General features: G+C 47.8%; 1 protein-coding gene across 2 annotated transcripts in view, besides 4 other annotated features; it reads right to left on the bottom strand.

Annotated features, from left to right (window-relative positions):
* CHCHD6 (coiled-coil-helix-coiled-coil-helix domain containing 6) overlaps positions 1-22,566 on the bottom strand; it is a 256,181-nt gene that overhangs the window by 32,645 nt on the left and 200,970 nt on the right. For both annotated transcript variants that reach the window (NM_001320610.2, NM_032343.3), the window contains exon 6: positions 13,026-13,096. In NM_001320610.2, the coding sequence (NP_001307539.1) occupies positions 13,026-13,096 (71 nt within the window). The remainder of the gene's footprint in view (positions 1-13,025; positions 13,097-22,566) is intronic.
* Positions 15,454-16,653: an enhancer, noted in NCBI's record as "MED14-independent group 3 enhancer chr3:126629966-126631165 (GRCh37/hg19 assembly coordinates)". NCBI's record gives its function as "activates an origin of replication core promoter dependent on BRD2, BRD4, P300/CBP and CDK7 cofactors, and independent of MED14, by STARR-seq in HCT116 cells {active_cell/tissue: HCT116}" and the evidence as "EXISTENCE:reporter gene assay evidence [ECO:0000049][PMID:35650434]".
* Positions 15,822-15,901: an enhancer, noted in NCBI's record as "active region_20444". NCBI's record gives its function as "activates an Ori minimal core promoter by ATAC-STARR-seq in GM12878 lymphoblastoid cells {active_cell/tissue: GM12878}" and the evidence as "EXISTENCE:reporter gene assay evidence [ECO:0000049][PMID:35858748]".
* Positions 16,042-16,521: an enhancer, noted in NCBI's record as "active region_20443". NCBI's record gives its function as "activates an Ori minimal core promoter by ATAC-STARR-seq in GM12878 lymphoblastoid cells {active_cell/tissue: GM12878}" and the evidence as "EXISTENCE:reporter gene assay evidence [ECO:0000049][PMID:35858748]".
* Positions 18,684-18,996: a silencer, noted in NCBI's record as "fragment chr3:126627623-126627935 (GRCh37/hg19 assembly coordinates)". NCBI's record gives its function as "represses an EF-1alpha promoter that drives an FKBP-Casp9 reporter gene in an ReSE screen in K562 erythroleukemia cells {active_cell/tissue: K562}" and the evidence as "EXISTENCE:reporter gene assay evidence [ECO:0000049][PMID:32094911]".

Genomic DNA, 22,566 nt, shown 5'->3' with positions numbered 1-22,566 from the left:
AAAAAAAGATTCCTCAACTGTAATAACATTTAATCCCTCCAGAAGCTAATCTAAATGTAACACTCAAAAGAAAACAAAAGTGACACAAAGGAGAAGAACCCCAGCCATTGCCTGTGGGGACGCTGGCTTTATTCCGGAAGTGAGTCCATTAATAGAGCTGGGAATGAAATGCCATTTTCATTTCAGTCGAGGGGAGGGGATTAATAAATTGTAGTCTCTAAGCCCAGTTTTTTGAGTCATGGATCTCTGAGCACTCAGAAAGCACTGGGCTGAAGCCTGTGCACAGTGGGGCTGCCCTTCCCCTTAAGCCTGCAGCTGCCACTTTCAGAGCTGGCTGGATGAGACGCCCTCTGCACACACTTCAGCATTTAGAACCCAACAGGACTGTGCTGAGCCCACCACCCCCCAGACAGCTTCCTGTGCCCCCTCGTTTGGGCACTGGGACAGTTAGGGGGCCCTTGCTCCACACACATCCCTGGTGGTGGACAGCAGACGAACGCTCCTGATGCTCATGTTCAGCGCATGCCCCATGCCTTGGTCAGGAGCCTCCCTGCTGCCCTGCGCTTGCCAGCTCCCCAGCCACCTCTCTAGCCACCTCCCTCAGGGCCCAGCTCTCCTTTTGGCCACAGCTGCTGCTTAGAGGCCAGAATCTCACAGTAGTCAGGTATTTGCCCAGCTCAGTTCTGCTTGAATGTCAGAGATCACCCTGATCCTCAGATGGACAGAGTCCTGGCTGTCCTCTCTCACATTACCCGACTGTTCCCTCTTCATTGCACTTTGTATAAAATCATCTTATTTTGTTGCTGACCATTTGTCTCTCTGCCCTGAGAGCAGGAAGCCTCCTGCCGGTTCACAACCGTATTCCCAGAACAGTGCCGGCGTGGGAGTGGAATATCTGTGCAATGGGTGAGTCATTCCTGGCTGGCAGTGTTGTCTCTGCTCTCAACATCATTACTGCTTGGTTCTCCCAAATGCTGCCAGATCTCTTTCTAAAACACAAATCCAATCATATCAATTCCCTGCTTAAAAGCCTTTTTTATGACTTGCCACTGCCTGCAGGATGAATCTCGAATTCTTTAGAATGCACCAAAGGCTCTTCACATTGGGACCACCCTGTCCCACCAGCCTCATCTCTACCCTCTCGGATGTTTGCTTCTTGACCAGCATGCCTGGTCCCCATCTTTCCCCTAATACTCCAGGAAGAGAGGCCCAACTGAGTCTCCACTCACAATGACCCCTGGCTGCACAGCCTGCCCTGGTCCACTTCACCTTGGCTCAGCACAAGGTCATTTCATCTCTGAGGCCACACTACTCAGGCAAAGCTAGTCCTGCCATCCTCTCTGTTGTGGGAGTGCTTTCCTCATTCACAGCTGCGGCACTCACCATCTGTCATGGGGTATTTCTTCCTCCATTTGGTATTCCTTGAGTTCATAAGTATTGGACCCTGAGGATACAAAGATGAATAAAACAAGGTTCCTGTCTGCAAAGAGCCTATCATCTAGCAAAATGCAATGCCTGAATATGTAAGTACAAAACAGACATGTAAGTGGCAGCCATGTATTGTCCCTGGGCCTCCCAGGTTCTCTGGGGGCAGTAAAGAGGGCAGAGCTAACTCTGTCTTGGGTGGGCCAGGAGGATTTTAGACAGCCTTTCAGTTTTATAAAGAAAGACACATTTGAGCTGAGCCTAGAGGAACGAGAGTCCTAAGCAGGGAGGTAGGGATACCGCAAGCGCGGTGGCTGGGAGTGCGTCTGTGCTCTGCAGCGGAGGCAAGGGCCTCCAGGATGGTCTCGTCCATTGTTATATATCCTCTCTGGCACAGAGCCCGCCACCAAGCCAGCCTCAGGAAAGGCTGACTGGACTGAATCAGAGGTTAAGTTCTAGATCACCATCATTTAATCCTGTCTTTAAGGAGAAATGATGATTTAAAAAAATAAGGGGGAAGAAGGTTATGCAGCAAATACACTCCAGGCCCTCCGTGGCTCTCTTCTGTGGATGGTGGCCCCCGGTGCTGGAGCAGGGGTTATGAGAGTAAGCCATTAAAAGGCGGAAGGCCTCCCTGCTCTAAGCAGCGTCCAAGAGAAAACCACTATGATACTTCCTAGGAGAAGCATGGTGGCTGGCTGCCTGCCTGCCAGCCAAGGGAGACAGAGACAGAACACTGATGCTGTGGCAGAGGAAGTAGCCCTTCTGCGGCTCATGGTCAGATGAGGAAGAGGGCTGGCTGTATACTACATTCCTAGTGCAGAGTGACATGGCTGCTTTTCTTAAACATTTACACAGGAAGATGAGCGCTGTACAACTTCCCTTGGTTATCACATTATAATGCCTCATTGCAAATCAGGAAGTTCTTTGCTAGATCTAACTTAAGTTTTCACAGCTGCAGTCCAAGGCTGTAGCCCTGATACTATTCAGACAATGTTTCCTTCTCAGAGGAATAAAATTCCACCCTCTGGTCAGCCTTCTCCTTTCCTGGGGGCCCAAACCGTGTGTTTACCTTTTCAACCCTTTAACCATTCTGGTCTCTCCTTCTGGAGCCTCTCCAATCTGTCTACTGCCTGCCTGCACAGCACAGCCCCAAATGGAGTGCCAGGCACCCAGCACTTGATTATTCGTGGTGACAGGACAGAATGAGGAGCAGAAAACCACTGCCTAATTCCTAAGTTTCATTTACTCCAGTAAAGGTTCAACATCATTCCTGATGGAGCATTTGGATGCACCTGACAGCACAAAAGCTATACTGACTGCTGCAAGCTTCATCTCTCATTACTCCCCACTAACACATGAAATGACAGACGCAAAAACCTGGCCAGCAGCTCCTGAGCAAGTGAGTGAGCCAGGCCTGAATGAAAGGCAGGTGATGGAGGCCTGGAAGGAAAGGCACCCACCTTTCCTGCGACCTCAGCTCCTGGCTGCTGGGTTTCTGACCCAAGAGCCTCAGCATGTCCATGGAGGAGAGGTCCTCCAGGCCCACCCATTCTGGCTTCACCCAGAATCACAGCTCATCTGTGCCTCAGGTGTTCACATGTCCGCAAACTGAGCACCAGGTCCCCAGTTAAAGGACATTTCAAAACCACAGCTCAAGTTCACGAGGAAAGGAGATTGCCTCATACACCTCAGAGGGTCAGAAGCCAAGCCCTGACTGGCAAACAGCACACTCCCAGTCTCTCCCACTCACACAACCAGGAACCCAGCTCTGGGGACAGTGCCTGTCTCATGGGGTCACCCTTAGCTTAGGGATCTGATGCCCAATTGCACTGGGAACCTCCCTCACCCCTGGCCCAAGTCATTATTGTTCCTTTCCTTGTGGTTGTGTTTGTAGTCTTGTTAATTTTTAATTATACAAGCTATACGTGAGAGTGTGTGTGTGAATATATATATTTAAATAAACATTTCAGATAAAGCTATAGTCCCTGTTGACCCTTTTTATAATCCTGAACTTCTCCGAACTAACCAGAGATAACTATTATCTCCCGTCAGGAACATACCTTTTTCAGACATTTTCTCTATATCACATAAATATGTCTACAGAACAGAGATGGTCCTACCATATGTGTGTCAACTGTACACATGCACTGTAAACTACAAATCGCTTTTTCCCCAACCAGAGGTCTCTGGCACCTTTGCAGGCCAGCATGCACGGCGCACACCGTAGCTGTCGTCTGGAGCTCCAGGGTTGGGGGAATTGTGTTACGCATTGCCTGTCACTAGGTATGAGGCTGCCTCCGATTTCCACACTCAGAATCAGGGCTGCAGTGCCCTTTGTGCCCATGGCTGCTGATGCACACAGGTGAGCATCTCTCTGGGATACATCCCCAAAAGGAGAGCTGTGGGCTCCTATGTGTCCCTTTCCTTCTTGGCTCCAGGTTCAGTCACTGATACACTCTATGCACCTAGGAATGTGCTCTCTTTTGGCTATTACACTCCAATCTCTCACTAAAATGTGAGTTTCTATGTAACAACACCTACCATGCATCGAGTGCTTACTACGTGCCTGACACTTTCCTAGAGGCTTAACAAATTACCTCATGATGCCCTCAAAACAACCTTTAGAAGTAAGGGAAGTGTGTCTCAGCATTTATGTCATCCGACCCAGGCCACACGTCAGGTAGCACTGCTAAGATCTGTACCCTCGGTTACCACAAAGTCCCTGCCCTGTGTGGGGCTCCTGCCTTGTGCAAGGCCCTGCCTCAAATGAGGTAAGGCCCTGTACCGTTCAGGGCCTTGATCCAGACAGAGCCCTGCTGCATGAGTAGGTGCTTAAACAGTCAACCACTTATTTTTAAATCCCACAATGGGTGTCAGTTCATCCACCCATCTGACACTGACTTGGTGAGCATCTCTCAAGGCTAAGTCCTGGCTTGGATGGTGGGGATACGGAGATATATAAGATATTAGGTTGACCTCTGGGTAAGACAAACAGTAAGCAGAAAAGATGCTTAAGTTAAATTTTAAACAGAGCAATTTGTAAGAAAAAAAGAGGGAGGTCATTCTAGACAGAAAGTAGGACATAAAAAGACAAACAGCTTAACAGATTCTGTGTTCTGAAATCAGGGACTGAGAACAGAGATTCAGAATTGAAAACTCTATCTTCAGAAATCATCTGGCCCAGGGATGTCAAATGGGTTTCACCTTGGATGCCAACCCCACATGGCTGAGATGAGCTGCTACAGCGCAGTGGCAAGAAGGATCTCAAGGCCCCATCCAGGTTCAGCAGACCACTGGGGTCCCTGTGTGACATCTGCCCTGGGGACAAGACAGAAGCAGCCTCTTTATCACACCCACAATGCCACCAGTAATGGCGGCTCACCCCACCACCCACAGAACCAGCCAAGGTGTGGTCTTGAGAGAAAACTGCCACCCGGCGTCTTTTGTTTTGACTTTCCATTCCCATATGCTACACAAACACTAACCTCTGTTGGTCAACTCTCTCTCCATGCATCTTTGTTTCCCTTGTTACAAAGGTGACAGAACTCTGTAAGCACTGGCATGGGAGTAAATGCCTGCATAAGATGCCACAGCTTAGGAAACAAGCACGTGTACACACACACACACACATACACATACACACGGGAGTCAATGCCTGCATAAGATGCCACAGCTTAGGAAACAAGCATGTGTACACACACACACACACACACACACACACACACGTGGTGGGCTGAAATTCAGGGAAGGGCACAGCCAGCACTGGGACAGCCAGGCAGTCAGGTAAGCAGCAAGCAGCTGAATGCCCCCATCCTGTACATTCTGAGAGATACGTATCTCAGTACAGCAGAAAAGAGCAAGGTAAGACTCATCCACACCTGGGTTCAAATCCCACCTGCCTCTCCCTGGGGTGTGTCTGTAAGCAAATGTGGATTATCACATTTATCTGGTTTTCATAAGAAGCTGACAGAAGTAGGCACCACCATCGTCCCTGTTTTACAGACCGGGAAACTGAGTCTGAGAGGTCAATGAACTTGCCTTCATTTCCACATCTGCAGAATGGTAATAATAATGGCATCTGCCAGCTGAGCTTCCTGTGAAGATGGGAAACAGGGTACAGTACATGTGCCAAGCACAGTCGCTGGCACGTGATGATGTTTAGTAAAAGTTTTTCAAATAAGAAATTAACTAAATTTTGATTAGTTAAATGAATGTATCAAACTGGTTTTGATTTGTTAACTTCTCAAAGAGCCAGGTCCATCAGATTAAGCCACACATGTCAGTAAATTTCTGCATAGAAAACGTTTCCTTTAAAAGGTCATCAAAGGTTATCTACCTAGGGAAGTGAGATGTAGTAACATTTTTGAATTCAGGCTAAGACGAATGTTATCTGGATTAAAGAATGTTTAGAATGCCATTTTCTTTGGGGTTTAAATAAATGACCACTGTTTTAATAGGTCATCTGTCATTAGCTCACTAAATAAATACAAACTGGGGAAGCTCAGGTTCCTAGAAACAATTCATTCTCTCAGGTGGGTCCTAAAGACTGTCCCAGAGTTTACTAAGTCCTGTCTTCCAAGTGCAGGTGAAAGCACTACAGCAGCTCTGCTCTAGCGAGTCCCAAGGCTGCCACATCCACATTAATCAGGCCTCTCTGGATCAAAGTCCTTGGAGCACAATGGCTCAGTTTCAGGAAATAGTTAATAACCTTCTTCCTTCAACTCAATTGTTCTAACCTCTTTGAGGGCTGGCTCTCTGTGGGACCAGGGAGGACTGTACAAGTTTCCTGACAAGGAGAAGCCAAGACAGATTCTGAATGAATCCCACGGGAAGCAGACTGAAGGTTGTCATAAAAAATAGATGTGACACAATAAATGCAGGAGGTTCCCTGGGGTCTTCATCTCTTCTTCAGAAAATCTGAACAATTCTGCCTTCTGTGCTGCTGTGAGGTGGGTGGGCGGGGGTGTACATACACATTTTGAATATTCACTTCTGTCTTAACAACAGGATTCTTCCAAAACAAGAGGCCCTAGTCTGTGACTGTCAGCCTTGCCATCAACACTCCTCTTTGGTGGAGAGCTCCCTGTTGGCCCTGAGGCAGGAGTCTTCTGAGATCTTGACATATGCTGGGCTTGATCCAGGCCTCAGTACAGGTTGGTGTCCTAACACAAGTTGGGAGAGTCACCCGTGCCTTCAATGCCCCATGTTGCTAAAACGAACAGGGTCTGGCTTTAGGATTTTACTGTTTCCTTTACCTGGGGTGGCCCTTTACTGCTTGGCAAACTCTAGTCATTCCTCAAAAACTAAGTTAGGACCTCTAGTTCCAGCTACAATGGAGCAGCTTGTGAAAGGCCTATGCTCTTCCCCGAGGGAAAAAAAAATTAAGTTGGAATACAAAAAAATCTGTGGGAAGGCATCTAAGGACCAACGCAACTAGGACTTGAGGTCCAAGATTATGAAGGGAAGGGAACCGTGGAGAGGTGAGTATTTGTTATTAGACCCACTTTCCCCCTCAAAGTTTCTGCCAATTCTTGGATCAGGAAGACAGGGTGAATGTCAGGCAAATAGCTTCAGCTGAAAGGCAAGAAAAGCTGTGGAGATTCTCGGCAGTCTCACAGGATGATAGGGAGGCAACGCTCCTGTGGAGGCTGCCTGGGCAGCTAGGACTTAGGGAGCCAGGATTCCAGAGAGAAGGGAGCTACAAAGCAGTGAGACAATACTCAGTGGTTTTCTTCTTTTAAAACATTTGTCAAATTCTTGAGCTACTCAGGCAAGAAGCTAAGAAGCTAACTAAAAGAGGCCACTGAAAGAGTGGAATTTTCAGAAGTCTCGCAGAGCCGAGAAAACAAAAATGTGGTTTAGAGCTCACCAAGAAAGAGGGACCCTGGAAAGCCACATCCCTAGGCATCTCTGGGGAAGGTCATATCACAGAGGACCTCTGTCATCTTTCCAGACAATTTCTGGCACTCAATCAAGAATTATCAGACATATAAATAAATAGGACCCAAGAAAAAAAAAGGCAACAGAAGTAGACCCTCAGATGATTTTAAAATAACTGTAACTAATATGTTCAAGAAAATAGAGAGCAAAAGGTAGAATTTCACCAAAGACTGGGAATCTTAAAAAAAAAAAAAAAGCAAAGCAAATAGAACTTTTAGAATTAAAAACATTTAGTAACTGAAATTCTGAATGCAATAGATTTAAGGCACACTTGACACAATAAAGAGGATCAATGAACTAAAAGACTAATAAGGAGAACTCCAACTATAGCATGGAAATTTTTTTTAAATGAGGAAAACCAGAAAAAAGAACAAGAGACATATGAGACAGTAATACATATAACCTTAGAAAAGAGGAAAGATAAAATAGGGGAGAGTGTTATTTGAAGAGATAATGGTAAGAGATTTCCAAAACTGAGAAAAACATGTCAACCTTCAAGACCTGAATCCAAAAAGAATAAAATAAAGAAAATCAATAACTAGGTATGGCTTAATAAAACCAAAGACAGAAAATCTTAAAAACAGAGAAAAAAGAAGTAAAGGAATGACAGCAATATCAACAGGTGGCTTCTCAAGGAAAAAAAAAATCAAGAATGTAAAGATATCTTCAAAGAGCTGAAAGAAATGACTGCTATATTTTTCAAAATGAAGGTGAAAAAGGTATTTACATACAATTAAAAATAAAACTTTTATCAGAAAAGATACACTAAAAAAAAAAAAAAAAAAATGAAGGCCAGCCAGATGCAGTGGCTCCTGCCTATAATCCCAGCAATTTCAGAGTCTGAGGCAGGAGGATTGCATAAGCCAGGAGTTCAAGACCAGCCTGGACAACATAGTGAAACCCTTTCTCTACTAAAAATTTAAAAAGTTAGCCGAATGTGGTGGTGCACACCTGTGGTTCTAGCTACTCAAGAGGCTGAGGTGGGAGAATCTCTTGAGCCCAGGCGGTTGAGGCTGCAGTAAGCTGTGATCATGTTACTGTACTGCAGCCTGGGTGACAGTGAGACCTTGTCTCAAAAAAAAAAAAAAAAGAAAAAAGAAAAGAAATAGTAGAAAAAAAATTAGAAGGAAAGTGTCAGAAAAAAACAATAAATCTGTAAATCATTAAAAATACAGAAAATTTGAACATGACTAACCAACTTAACCTAATTGACAATACAGAACACTACATCTTACTGACAGAATACACAATCTCTTTAAATGCACATGGACAGTTTACCAAAGCACATCATATACTGGACCATAAATCAAGTTTCAATAATTTTCAAAGAATTTAGAGTATGTTCTCTAATCACAGAAGAATTAAACAGAAACCAATTATAAAAAATGTAACTAGAAAACCCCTAAACATTTGGAAATTAAACAACATACTTTGAAATAACCTATGAGTAAAGAAGAAATCAGAATGAAAACTGGAAAAATTTTAACTCATTTATACTAAAAATACAGTATATCAAAACTTGTAGCTAAAGCTGTGTTTATACAGAAATTATAGCCTTAAATGCATACATTAGAAGATAAATAAAGCTTTGAAAAAGGTAATTTCACTGCCCTTAGGATCAAGTTAAAATTCCTACTATGTCACAAAGTTCTGCATGGTCTGGCTCATGCTCACTTCTTGGAGCTTCCTCTTTTTCTCTCTTCTCATTCATTACTCTCTAGCCATACTGGCCTTTTTTCAATTCCTTCAATAAGTTAAATTGCTTCTTGTCTCAGGGCCTTTGCACATACTAATCCAGCTGTTTAAAATGCTTTTTCCCACCATGTGACATAGTCTTTCTAATTCAGACTCTTTCTTTCATGGCACTCATTGCTATAATCAGTTAATTGAGTAACTGCTTGTTGTGCAATTAATTTTAAAACATTGTTTGTCATTCCCCAAATGTTATAAGCTCCTTGCTGGCAGGGACTGCAGCTGTCTTGTTCATCACTGTGTCCCCAGGGCCTAGCATGGTGTCTGGCAAACAGCAGGCACTCTATACATGTGTATTCAATGAATGAATGAATACATGGACATCTAGTTTACCATCTAAGCAGTTTACTCAAAGTTGTTAAAAGATACTCCATGGTCTTAGAAGAAAACTCCTCAATATTACTGCTATCAGCAGTTGGCATTTATTTCTATGACATTTATGATGTAATTTACAATATCTGTTAATCCAAGAAATATCTCAAAGATTTCTCTAGATGTTTAAGTAATTTCTAACTGTACACTGCTTCGTGTTTACTGTATTTGGGAAAAGGAAAAGTGTTTTTATAAGCTCAATTTATATATCAAATCTGTTCTACTCTATACCAAGCTAGGTGCTGTAAAAAAGTGACTAAAATGACTGCCGTTATTAACAGTATCTTAGCCCATTCAGGCTGCTATAATAGAGTACTATAGAGACTGGGCAGCTTATAAACAATAGACGTTTATTCCTCACAGTTCTGGAGGCTGAGAAGTCTAAGATCAAGGCACTGGCAGATCTGATGTCTGGTGAGGGCCCACTTTCTGATTCATAGATGGTGTCTTCTCTCTGTGTCCTCAACATGGTAGAAAAGGAAAGGGAGCTCTCTGGAGTCCCTTTCATAAGGGCACAAATCCCACCCATGAGGCCTCCACTCCCATGATCTAATCACCTTGCAAAGGCCCCACCTCCTAATATCGTCACATTGGGAGTGAGATTTCAACATATGTGTTCTGGAGAGACAAACCATTTAGTCCATAGCAAACAGTCACACTAATATCAACAACAGTTGTTGACATCCTAGGTCTACTTTCTATGTGGAATCTTGCTTAATTATCACTTAAAGATTAAAGAGTGTGTCCTGTTTGTTTTGTAGGTGAGGAAACGGAGGCCTGTAGAAGTGAAGTGACTTGCTAAGGGGCAGGGCTGAGGTCTGAGGCCTGGTCTGAGTCCAAAACCCGGGCAGGCTCTGAGAGCTCCACCCTGCTGCCATCTTACGTCCAGGCAGGGCCTGCAAGGGACAGCAATGATGCAAAGACAAACAAAGGAAGAGCAACCCCAGCCCTGCCACAGAACCAGCTGTGACCACGGACAAAAGGAGTTATTCGACCTCTCCAGCCTCAGTTCTTCACTTGTATATGAAACCAACAAGAGTAAATATAGAATGGAGTTGAAACGCCTTGCAGAGTACTTATTGCTTAGTAAATAGTGCTAATTATTATCAAGGGATGCTGTAAACAAACAAAAAAACCTTAGGCTTCACTCAGATTAAAAATACATTCACATCCATCCCACCTTGCTTTCAGGGGATATGAGGATGAGAAAGGCTATGACAATAAAGCCAAATTCACAAAGGGGCTGGTGGGGCAGGAGTCCCTGCCCTCATGATGGTGGGCCACTTGGCAGGTGACAGGCATTATGGTTACCAACAGAAAGCTGTCTGGCTTCTCCCCCAGTGCATCTTCTCCTTGGCAGGTGGGTCCTGGCTCCAGGTAGAAAGGGAGGGGCCATTGGCCTTGGAAGAAGCTGCTCGGGTAAGAGAATGGGCAGGAGCTGTGGCCTGGCCCACCTCCGGGGATCACATCCATGCTGTAGCTGTCACTCAGCAGCCTCTTTGATGTGGCTGCCACCACAGCTCTCCTTCTCAATGTTCTGTGATTCCAAGTATTTCTCAGCCCCAGATGAACAGGACATACCGGGGGGAACCCTTCAGAAACAGGTCGAGAGCTGACCACCAGTGGGGGCAGGGTGTCTGTGTGTGGGGTGGCTCATACCCTGCAGGGCAGTGCAGCACCCTTCAACTCCTGGATGCAGGCAGCCTTGGTGCTTACTCACTCAGGCCCTGTGGGGTCCTAGCATCAGCAGGGCTGGGCTTCTACCTCAACACCTGTCCTTGTCTCTATCTGCCTTTTGGAAGATTCTCCTCCTCTCAGGCTCCTAGTATTGCTGTAGGACTTGAAATTTCAGGATAATTGGCCTTCTTTTTTTTTTTTTTTTTAAGATGGATTCTCACTCTGTTGCCCAGGCTGGAGTGCAGTGGCACGATCTCAGCTCACTGCAACCTCCGCCTCCCAGGTTCAAGTGATTCTTCCACCTCAGCCTCCTGAGTAGCTGGGATTACAGGCATGTGCCACCACATCCGGCTAATTTTCGTATTTTTAGTAGAGATGGGGTTTCACCATGTTGGCCAGGCTGATCTTGAACTCTTGACCTCAGGTGATCTGCCCACCTCGGCCTCCCAAAGTGCTGGGATTACAGGTGTGAGCCACCACGTCCAGCAAAATTTCAAGATAATTATTTTCTCTTTCCCAAACCCATTCTTAAATGGCTCTGCCACAATATGTAGTATCCCCATCAGCTTTAGGTGTTTAGTGTTCAAGAATAAAACCCCTACACTAAGCCTGAGCAACATGGTGAACCCCATCTCTACAAAAAATACAAAAATTAGCTGGGCGTGGCACATGCCTGTGGTCTCAGTTACTCGGGAGTCTGAGGTAGGAGGATCACCTAAGCCCAGGAGGTCAAGGCTGCATTGAGCCATGATTCTGCCACTACACTCCAGCTGGGCCCACACAGTGAGACCCTGCCTCAAAAAGAGACCCCAAAACCAGCCTACATTGTTCCCTGTCCTATTCTGTGCCTTTGGGTCTATGCTGACTGTTTGTCTGTCCCTACTGTCCTTCCAGCTCCTCACAGTTCTCTGCACAGCTGTTTTTACAACTATCATGCAAACCTGTCTCTGACACTTCTTTCTCATGAGGCCAGACCCACTGCTCACAATTCTGTGCCCTGAGGGCTGCCAGGTGAATTGTCCCAATTCACTCTTGGGAGGGAGCAGCTTTCCCAGGAAGTGGATGGAGTTGGTGGTAGCCCCTTGGCTAATTTATGAAGGTCTCTCAGGTCCATAGAGACCAACTTCACACAGAGAACCCATAAGACCCAATTCCTTCCCACAAGAATCACTTTCTGACCTTCCAGGGAACTGTACTATTGACTGAGCAGAGCCACACTGGTACTGGGCACACTGTGAGCACCTCCCTGCTCCTGTGACGTTCCAGCTGAGTCCTCAATGGACAGCATAGGAGCACCACAGACAGGGGACAGAATGCTGGCACTTAGGACTGTATGATCTGAGCAAGCCAGCAGCTCTCTGAGCCTCAGTTCCTCTGGGCATGAAGTGTGGGCCACCCCGAGCATGACTGCGCACAGGGTGCACTGCATGTACCAGGCACAGGAAGCACTGAGAGGGGACACCTTCCCCTAAAAACCCCTCCACAGTCAGAGGGGAGAGAAGCCAGCAGAACCCCTGCCTCAACTCCTTCTGGGGCCTGACGGCCAGCTCCTCAGCTAGCCACACAAGGAAAGGAGCCCCTGCTCAGCAGACACTGGGCCCCGAAAATAACTCTGCAAGTCTACCCTAGCACCACTCCAATTTGCCAAGGAGCTAGATAAGAACTGAGTGCTAATTTGGCCAATTACAGATGACCAATGGCTACCTCAGATCCAGGTGAGAGAGCTGAGGAACAGATGGTTGTGTGTATTATTAGGGAAACTTGAAATTAGGCAGGTGGTGGCAGGTTTCAAGCCACATGTGGGAATTTTTACAATTGTGGGCCAAGTTTACAAAGAATAATAAACAAATTCTTACTTTATTGTGCTCTCCATCTTTGAGGCTGCCTCATGGAATTGCTCTGAAGACAGTTTATACATCTCAGCATTCTACAAGGAGAAAAACAGAATTGGTTACCAAAGACTGAAATTTCCCTCTGCTCTCTAATGGGATGCAACCACATTAGAAATTGACAGATGCTAATTTCTTGACGGGCATCAAAGCCGACTGGTAATTAATCCACACCTTGGGTTCCAGCTCCACCACGCATGGCTGCTGCTACAGAATCCTAGAATAGCAATGGCTGCAAGTGCGTTATGAGATCCTCTAGCTCAGGGGTTGGCAGACCACGATCCACGGGCAAAATCCAGCCTGCCACCTGTTTTTGTGAATAAGGGTTTTACTGGCACACAGCCACGCTCATTAGTTCACATATTGTCTGTGGCTGCTTCTGTGCTACAATGGCAGAGTTGAGGAGCTATGATAGAGACTACATGACCTACAAAGCTTAAAATACTTACTATCTTTAAAGAAAAAAATTTCTCAGTCTTGATCTGGTCCAACCCCTATTTTATAGGTGGACTTTCCTTCCCGGAGAGGTGAAATGACTTCTCCAAAGTCACAGAGCAACGGGGCAGTGTAAGGACTACAACTCAGTTGTCTAGATTCCCAGTCTGGGAAACACTCTGCTGCCTACCCTGACCACCCTACTCATCGGAACAGCAACCATCTGTCCAGATTGTTAAGGGGAGCATCCACAGGCACACACTTAATTTGTCCTGAGATCACCCGGTACATGTGCACCTACAGACCCAGGTTTGTGGAGGGAAGGCCCAGGCCTGGGAGCAAAACACAGCTGGGTCTAAGCCCTGATGCCACCACCGTGTGGCTCTGGGTAGGTTATGGAACTTTGCTGTGCCTCAGAGGCAAGCTGCTCCAGGCCACAAAGGCCCAGGTCCACATCCTCCTTTCTTTGTGAAGCTCCAGCACCTTCGCATGTTCTGAGGGGAGACTGACATTAACGCATCTGCTAGCAGCCTCCTGCCGTGCTCCAGGTGGGAGTGTGGTGAAGCCCACATGTGGACATGTAGGCAGCAGGGAGAAGGCCAGCCTTGGGCTGACTCATGAGGAAGCAGTTTCAGAAATGAAACAACCTGAGGTGGGGCAGGGCCCGTGGTCAGACCTCCCCAGTGCGGGTGAGGAAGGTACAGCAGATGTCACCTGGAGTTGGCTTAAGGTCAGTCCCTTTGCAGACACAACCACATCTACTCCTCAAAGCCTCACATGGGCACTTTGGGAGGCTGAGGTGTGTGGATCACCTGAGGTCAGGAGTTCAAGATCAGCCTGGCCCAAATGGCAAAACCCCATCTCTACTAAAAATACAAAAAAAAAATTAGCTGGGTGTGGTGGCGGGTGCCTGTAATCCCAGCTACTTGGGAGGCTGAGGCATGAGAATCGCTTGAACCCAGGAGGTGGAGGTTACAGTAAGCCGAGATTGTGCCACTGTACTTCAGCCTGGGCGACAAAAGTGAAACTCCGTCTCCCAAAAAAAAAAAAAAAAAAAAAAAAAAAAAAAAAAAAAGGCTCATACGGGCAGCATGATTATCCCCGTTCTACAGATGAGCAAATGGGAGCTTCAGGTCTCAGGTACCTACTGCAGGCACAGATCAGTCAGTCCCTGAAACACGCTTGTGTGGCAGTGAAGGAACTTTAGAGCTGCGTTGCCTTGCACATTTGTAGGACTTCAACTTGGCTCTCTCCGCCCACCAGGCACACAGCTAGCCTGGCTGAAGCTGGGCAGACACGAAGTGAGAGGTGCACAGAGCCACCCAGGGAAAGCACTTCCTGTGCACCACGGACCCCCCTCGGCCTTCTGCAGGGAAGGTAACTGAGGCAGGGATGGACCCCCCACCTCTAAGGCCATAGGGCATGGAAGGCAGGTCCAGATGGAAACCAGGCCCCCCTCTAGTCTTACCCCAAGGACTCCCCTGCTGCATCGTGGCCTCAGAGAAGTGCTGACTGGGAGGTAAATGTGGAAGGTGAGCCCCTGGGGAAGAGCACCTGGCTCATGTGATGAGGAAGAACCACCAGGTGCTGGCATTCTGCCCTGGGCTGGGCCGGGGGAGTCAGGGAGGCCTGGGGGCCACCTCTGGGCCTTTCACCCTCCACTGCCTGGTGAGCTTAGGCAAGTCACCTCGCTGCTCCTCACTTCTGAGCCAAGGAGATAATGGATGCCTCCCTCTACAGCTACTGGGAATGACAGCTGGGAAATGCCAACCCTCCCGGCATACGACAGGCACGAAATAAATACAGGTTCTCCTCCCACCACAGCCAGCTGCTGCCAAAATGCCCAGCAAGGGGGCTCCAGTGTTCTCTCTAGAGCCCTCACATTCAAACGAGAGATTACGTCTTTGCCTCGACCAGTCCAGTATCCACCAGCACTGCCTGTCCTGGGCGAGGCGGTAGGGACAGAGACATAACAACTTTGGGCCTCCCTCCCACTCCATGCAGACGCCCTTCCGCCACAGCCTGGGTGGGAACTGCTTAGCTGTCTGAAGTTCCCCTTCATGAGACCTCATCAGGAGATGGCATGGACCACAGACCCACATTTTGATTTGCGCTTTGGCATATGCTGGCGGTGTTCTTTGGGTAAGTCACTTCTCTCAACAGCAACACAGGGTATCACCCAGCCTGCAGTTGGTGGAGAGACATCTTGGCACACAGCACCCACCTCAGCCCACCACAGCCACTGAATTTTCCAGAGCTAAAATGCACCTCATCCTAAGCCCCGCCCCCCACAATTCATCCTGGCCTACTTCCTTTCCCACAAAACAACCTCATGGCTCAGACCTTCTCTTTGAGCCAAACCCCTCTTCCTGTGGTTGTGCCCACAGGGCTCCTGAGTGTCAGGTCACCATCCTGCAGGCCCAGGCACCTGTTGCCAACCTTCTCAGAGAGCGAATCCTTGGCCCAGATGGGCCCGGCCTGCTGTGGGCTTCAGTAGACACTCAGAGCCTGTGCTCAAGATGCCATACTGCCAGAAACAGCCTGGCCCCGGTGAATTTGGATAGTGCTTGGGTTTGATTGCAAGCTCAGTTTGAACATGTGGTCAACTCGATTTGTCACAGGAAGTACCCACAGGCCAAGAAGTGGCGGTGATTACCCTGCTGCAGCTTCCTCTATTGTTTCTCAGAATGACTCAGAGAAATTCCCCGTCCTGTCCTGTCCTGACCCGCCTACCCCACTCATCTAATCTGCCTAAGCAGACCTACAGGGACGGATGTCCTCACAACCGCAGCTCCCTTGGCACTCGAAGGTCTCCGGCCCACAACTTGGGAATACCAAGCTGGCTTCCTGTGTTCACAAAGCTGCTCATCCACCAGGCCTTTCCAAGGCTGCTGGAGTGGACCCAGACTCCATCTCCTGGGAAGGGCAGGGCACTCTGTGGACTCCTCAACCAATCACCAGGTCAGGGCTTCTAGAAGGACTAGACACTACCAACGTGCACACTGAGAACCCGCCAAGTGCCAGAAGGTTCTGAGACAAGTGTGGCTTGCTCCCTGGCCTCGTGGAGCTCTGAGATGGTGGCATCATAATTACAATGGGGTACTCAGCCAGTCCTCCCAGGTGCTGTGGGGCACCTGAAAGGACAGCCTGGCAGAAACCATGGGTCAGACTGACTTCCTGGGAGCCAATACCTGAACTGAGGCTGAGTTTTTTTTATTTACACTAAACAATGTTTTTGAAAAATACTTACATATGGTTTTAAAAAACAAAAATGGAAAGCATGGAGGGTGTGTGGTGAATACTGAGCCTCTTGGCCAGCCTGGACTCAGCCCTATCCCTACTCCTCTGTGCACCCCGTCCTTGTCAGGGCGAGGTGCTGTGCATGCATGGGCACATGTGTGAGTGAGCACACACATGTGCCCCACTTGTTCCTGACACTCACTTGACTGCAGCAGACACGATCTGCCACACCTCATCTTTCCATTGATCCTCAGAGACCTCACCCACTCCAGCTGACCAGCACTTAGTAGTAGGAATGAATACCCTGTAGTGTCATCCCTTGAGTATCACTCAAGCAGCTCCCCATCCTTGTACAGAGGTTGTTTCTAGTCTTCTACTATTATAAACAAAGCTAAGAGGAACATCTTGGCATCTAGAACTTTGTGTGTATCTGTAGGGAACACTGTATAAGTCAAATTCTTGGGTCAAAGGGTGTATCCATTTTAATGAATTTTAAAGGATGAGCAGAAATGAGCCAAATGAGAGGGAGGTCTCCTGAACACAGGCAGCAGTGCGAGGAGCCTGGGGCTGCCACAGGGCTGTGCATGGGGCAGGAGATGCCACTGTTGCTGCAGAGGCACAGGGCAACGGCCAGGAGGGGACGTGGAGGATGCCAGCTGCAGGCTCAAAAGCTTGGACTGCACCTCATGGGCAATAAGGGTGAAGAAGGCTTTCCTTTTTCAGTGAAGGAGGGGCAGGGAAGATTTGTTTTTTTTGTTTTTTTTTTTTTCCTGAGGCAGGGCCTTGCTCCTGGCTGGAATGCAGTGGTGTGATCATAGCCCGCTGTAACCTCGACCTCTGGGCTCAAGCTATCTCTCCACCTCAGAGCCACCCCAGTAGCTGGGACTACAGGAGTGTGCCATCCTGCCCAGCTAATTTTTGTATTTTTTACAGAGAGGGGGTTTCGCCATGTTGGCCAGGCTGGTTTCAAACTCCTGGGCTCAAGTGATCTGCCTGCCTTGGCCTCCCAAAGTGTTGGGATTATAGGCGTGACTTACTGTGCCCAGCTGATTTGTGTTTTTAAAAGAACATTCTGGCAGCTGTGTGGATGATGGCATCCAGCTCTCCCCGGCTAGGCCGTCAGTTCTCGAGAGCTCCTGGAACCCTGCAGCACAGAGCCTGGGAAGGCAGCATGACTGTGCCTGTAAAGGAGCCCTGCTGCCCACTGAGAGACACTGGGAAACTTCTCTGAAGTGCGCTCTACCGAATTCTCACACATTAATTAGCACCCAATGACCAGGGACTATTATTTCTGGGTGATTTTCTTTCCCATCGGACTCTTTAGTTTCCCAAATTTGCAGTCTTTTCCTCTGCCCTGTAGACAGCTGCCCCTCCTCCTCCTCCAGCTGCCCCACATGCACATCTGAAAGCAGGAGGCCTGACCTCCATTAATTAAATCTGCCATTAAAAATTAAATAACGTGAGTAAGAAGGTGTGAGTGTTATCTCCATGGGTTTCCAAAGTCACAGTGTTTCTTCAATTACTTCCCGAGCAGTTTTCATATTTCATACTGTCTGATTTCTCCAAGGGCCTGGATCTGTGAGATCAAAAGCAAGGGTGAGGGTGAGGGAAGCATGGTGAGGAGGCCGGGGAAGGGAAGATGACAAAATGTGTCTGAGCAGAAGAGATCACCCGGCAGCCCCTGCCCCAAAGCCAGAATACAGGTGCGGGGTGGGAGGAGGACATGGGGCCCAGAGGTCTGAGGGGAACCCCCATAACTATAGAGCAGCGTGGGACCAGTGCATTAAGGCATGTGCAATCACAGATGTGAAGAAAACAGAGCCTAATCTGTGGACATTGGGGAGAGCAACTTTTGGACTGGAGCCCTGAAAGACACCCCCTAACCACCTCCCAAGTTAACAGCAGTCATTCACGGCCTACGGTGTGCACAGGCTGTGCTGGGCGCCACGGGAGAGAAGGAGCCTAAGAGGGTCACGGCACTTGAGGATTTATGTCTAATAGCAAAGAAAGAACCAAGGCCTCAGGAGCATTCCAAGAACAGAGCGGCAGCACAGGGCAGTGGCAACGTGTGCATGCCGTGGTCAGACCGCCTGTGCAGGGTCAGGACCCACCTCTTCCGGGTGTGTAACCACAGGCAAGGGTCAAGACCTCTGGGTCTGTTTCTTCAGCTTCTTATCTGTAAAATGACAACAATGACAGAACCTCCTTTCTGCAGTTTTGTGGGAATCGAATGACAATGCATATAAAATTCTTAGAACAGTGCCTGGCACAGAGTAAATATTCAATACCTGTTTTAATAACTAAAAATCTCCTACTCAAATGCATAAAAACCAACCAAGTATACTATGTATTTGGAAGAGAGATCCGAGAGTATCGGAAGTGTCAGGTCTCCTTGGGGATGTAAACTCCACACAGATAGGGACTTTAGCTTGTTTTGTTCACTAACCTATCCCCAGAGCCTGTAACAGTGCCTGGCAGAGAGCAGGCCCTCAATGTAAAGTTGAGTAAATGGAAATAGGGGTCAGAACCACTACAGAAAATCCGACAAGATGATCCCACTTAAGAATATCTGAAAAGATGATCAGGACCTAGTTATTTATAGAGTCAACCAAGAAAGTTTGCTGATTCCCACTATTCCCACTCTGTGCCAGGCCCTGCTTAAGGAGAGCTGAGAGGCTCATGTGGAAGCCAGCTGGGGGTAGCACAGAATCCGACCAAAGCACAGAGGAGTCTGAGGGTGGGGCCAAGATAGGTGGAAGGGAGTGAGAATCAGGAACCTGGAACCTTTCCCACGCAGTGAGAACATTTCTCCAAATGCTTTGAGAGAATGCAGGAGCCAAACAGTCACTGACTGTGCTCTGCTCCCACCAGCAATGTATTCAAAACTCCAATCAAACAGTGATATGTCCACTCACAAGGTTCAACAGCCCTCCTCAGGCCAGGCACTGAAGCAGATTTTCCAACAGGTCAATTCCCGGCAAGCTGAAAGCAGTATTTCAAGGTAAGAATTACCGCCCCTTTGACAGATGAAGAAACTGAGGTTCAGCAAGGCAACGGGTCCTACTCTGGGTGTCACAACTTCAAGCAAAACAACAGGATCCGAGGACAGGCCTGGTGGCTTTCCACACAGTGGCAAGCCTTCTATTCTACCCAGCTGTCCCTTGGGAAGAAAAATAACAAACCAAAGGCCACGCAGATGCCAGCACATGGTTCCACGTAGAAAAATGTGCAGCCCAGGATCCTGCTGCCCAGGGCAGGGGAGAGATTCCCAGCAAAATTAGTGCAGGTTGGAAAAGGGCCAAGGGTTGATGATGCAAGTAAATCCCAGAAATCTGAGAGGAACAGATTGAACACAGGAAAGCCCTATCCAAGATGCTATCAACATGGCCAAACACTGGTCATCTGGGGAGATTTGGAACTCAACAGCCTAATTATCCAAAGCTTCTCAAAATTCACAGGAATGCTACATTTTAAGCAAAGTGAAGAAAATTAACATATTCAGGATTTGGAGAAAGAGTTTCTGATGTGAAAATAGTAAAAACCACAAATAAGTGAAAAATGAACACAAGTCTTTTTAAAAAGGTCCAAATAATCAATATAAAAAATTAAAGCTCAGGACATGCAGTCAGCTACACAACCAATGAATGAATGAATGAGAATTTTAATTTCGTTAAGTGGCTGCACATCTGGTTCTTAGCAAACTTATGAGGCTAGTTGGCTATGCCCTACTGTGCTGTCATCTGGAGAGGGAGACCCCTCTTTCCTGTCTTGTTCTTCACTTACCCCAAACAAGTGTGCAGAGACCCTAAAGAGATTCAGAGATCTGCCCTGACTACAGTCAATGCAAAGTCAGCTCAACTGAACCTTCCATGCAACTTGTAATTCCTGAGACCCTAGGTTGGCGTCTTTGCCCATTCCCCTTCTTAGCTATCTCAGCCTTTACCTGTTACCCCTGAATTCCCACCATCAGATGACCGTGTTTCCACCTGAGAGACAACAGCAGCTGCTGCTGGGCATATGTACCCCCAGCACTTTCCACTAGGGCCAGGCATGCCTCTGCCCACACCCATGGTCCCTATACCCTCAAAAGAGATGCCCACCAGTCATCTGGGTTCTTTGTTCCAGCGTCTGCTGTGACATGGATGATGACTCCCCCTTCCCTGAACGTGCTTCTTCATTGGTCCAGGGAGAAAAACTCCTACCTAGCTTTCAGGGGTGCTGAGGATCCAATGAATAATGAACGCAAACAGACTTGAGCACAGCAGGAACCAAGAGAGGTGAAGTCCTTGCCTTCACAGAGCTAACGCTCTGGATATGGAGGGGGAAAAAATACAAAACCACAGCAGGCTAAATAAAGTGAAAAGGAACAACAAGGTAGGGGTATTGTTGTAAATGACTGGCTAGGGAAGGCTCATCCCTCCCCGACCCCCGGCTGACACTGGGCAGAAGTCCGAATCATGTGAACGAGAAAAGTAAGTCAAGACTGGGAGAGGTCTGGGATGAGACTACACCCGGCGTAAAGCAGCAAGATGAGCGCTGTCGGAAGGTGTTGGACCGCACGAGGCACAGATGCAGGGAGGGCCAGCAGGGTTGGGCCTCAAGCCGCAGAGCCCGTTCCAGAGTTGGTAGGGAGCCACTGGGCTTAATCAGGGAAAGGACCCCATCTGATATCCATTCTGGAAGGACTGCTGGCTGCCGTGTAATGGTGTCGACTGGGAAGAAAGAGTGGAAGTGGCCATCAGCCTGGAGGCCTGGAGGCCTGGAGGATGCTGCAGTGGCCCAGAGAGATGGGTGGGTCATTCCCTGAGGGAGCATGGAATACCATCTCCACTAGTGGCAGTTCAGAATGAGACAACACCACAGGCTTGGACCTGCTAAGTTTGAAACATAGAGGAGACAATGGGTGGGGAAGTCAAGACAGCAGCTGGAGTGGGAGTGAGGTGCTGAGGATGGGCTGGAGTCTAAGACTCAGATCTGATGGTGTCTGTGCAGCATCTACTCAGGAAGCTTGGCCCTGGTCAGAACTGTGCTCCATCAATGATCTGATCCCACTCATATTTCCTCTTTCCCTCTGCCAGTCATTCTCCTTCCAGAACTCTCCTGTTACATGCCCTCGTCTCTTGGTTCTCGCGTGATGCCCCTGATTCCTGCAGTTCTTGAAGTAGTGAACACCACTAGCTATCCAGCTTCTGGAGGGCTACCTGTCATTCACCACTGCTTCCTATCCCATGGGTCCCTATCTTAGGCTGCAACCAAATTCAGAGAACCCTGTCTCCTTGCTTGTCACCTGACTCCTTCCCTTTCTGTTCACTGTCACTGCTTTCATTCAGTCTTTATTATCTTATGAGTGGACAAACACAAGGACGCACCTCACACACCCCCCATCCTGGCCACCCCGCTGCTCCATCCCCTGACTGTGGCTATAGGGACAACCCTTCTCTACAGCTCTCAGCTGAGAACTTGCATGGTTCCCCTTTCCTGCAGCATGACATCCTGACATCCAAGACACCCCCTGTGAGATCGGGCCCTCTCTAGTAAACAATCTTGGCACTGTCCCTGTAGGCGCTGCACTTCTCCTGCAATGCCTTGCTGTTTCCAAGCCTCCATGATGTTCTAGATGTTCTTTCCTCTGCTAATTCTTCCCTATCTACCCAAGAAACTCCTGTTCATGCTTTGAGACCCAACAACAAGGTCATCTCTGCTGAATAATGTCATTCCTCTCCCAGGCAAAACTAATCATTCCCTTCCCAGTGTGCTGTACCAAGACACACTTTTCAGTGGTATTTCCCACTGCAATCATCTGTTGACATGCCTGTCTCCCTGGCTTAGACTG

Source organism: Homo sapiens, chromosome 3 (genome assembly GCF_000001405.40).
Source record: "Homo sapiens chromosome 3, GRCh38.p14 Primary Assembly".
In the NCBI taxonomy this organism is placed as follows: domain Eukaryota; kingdom Metazoa; phylum Chordata; class Mammalia; order Primates; family Hominidae; genus Homo; species Homo sapiens.
This window is presented reverse-complemented; position numbering and strand designations above follow the sequence as displayed.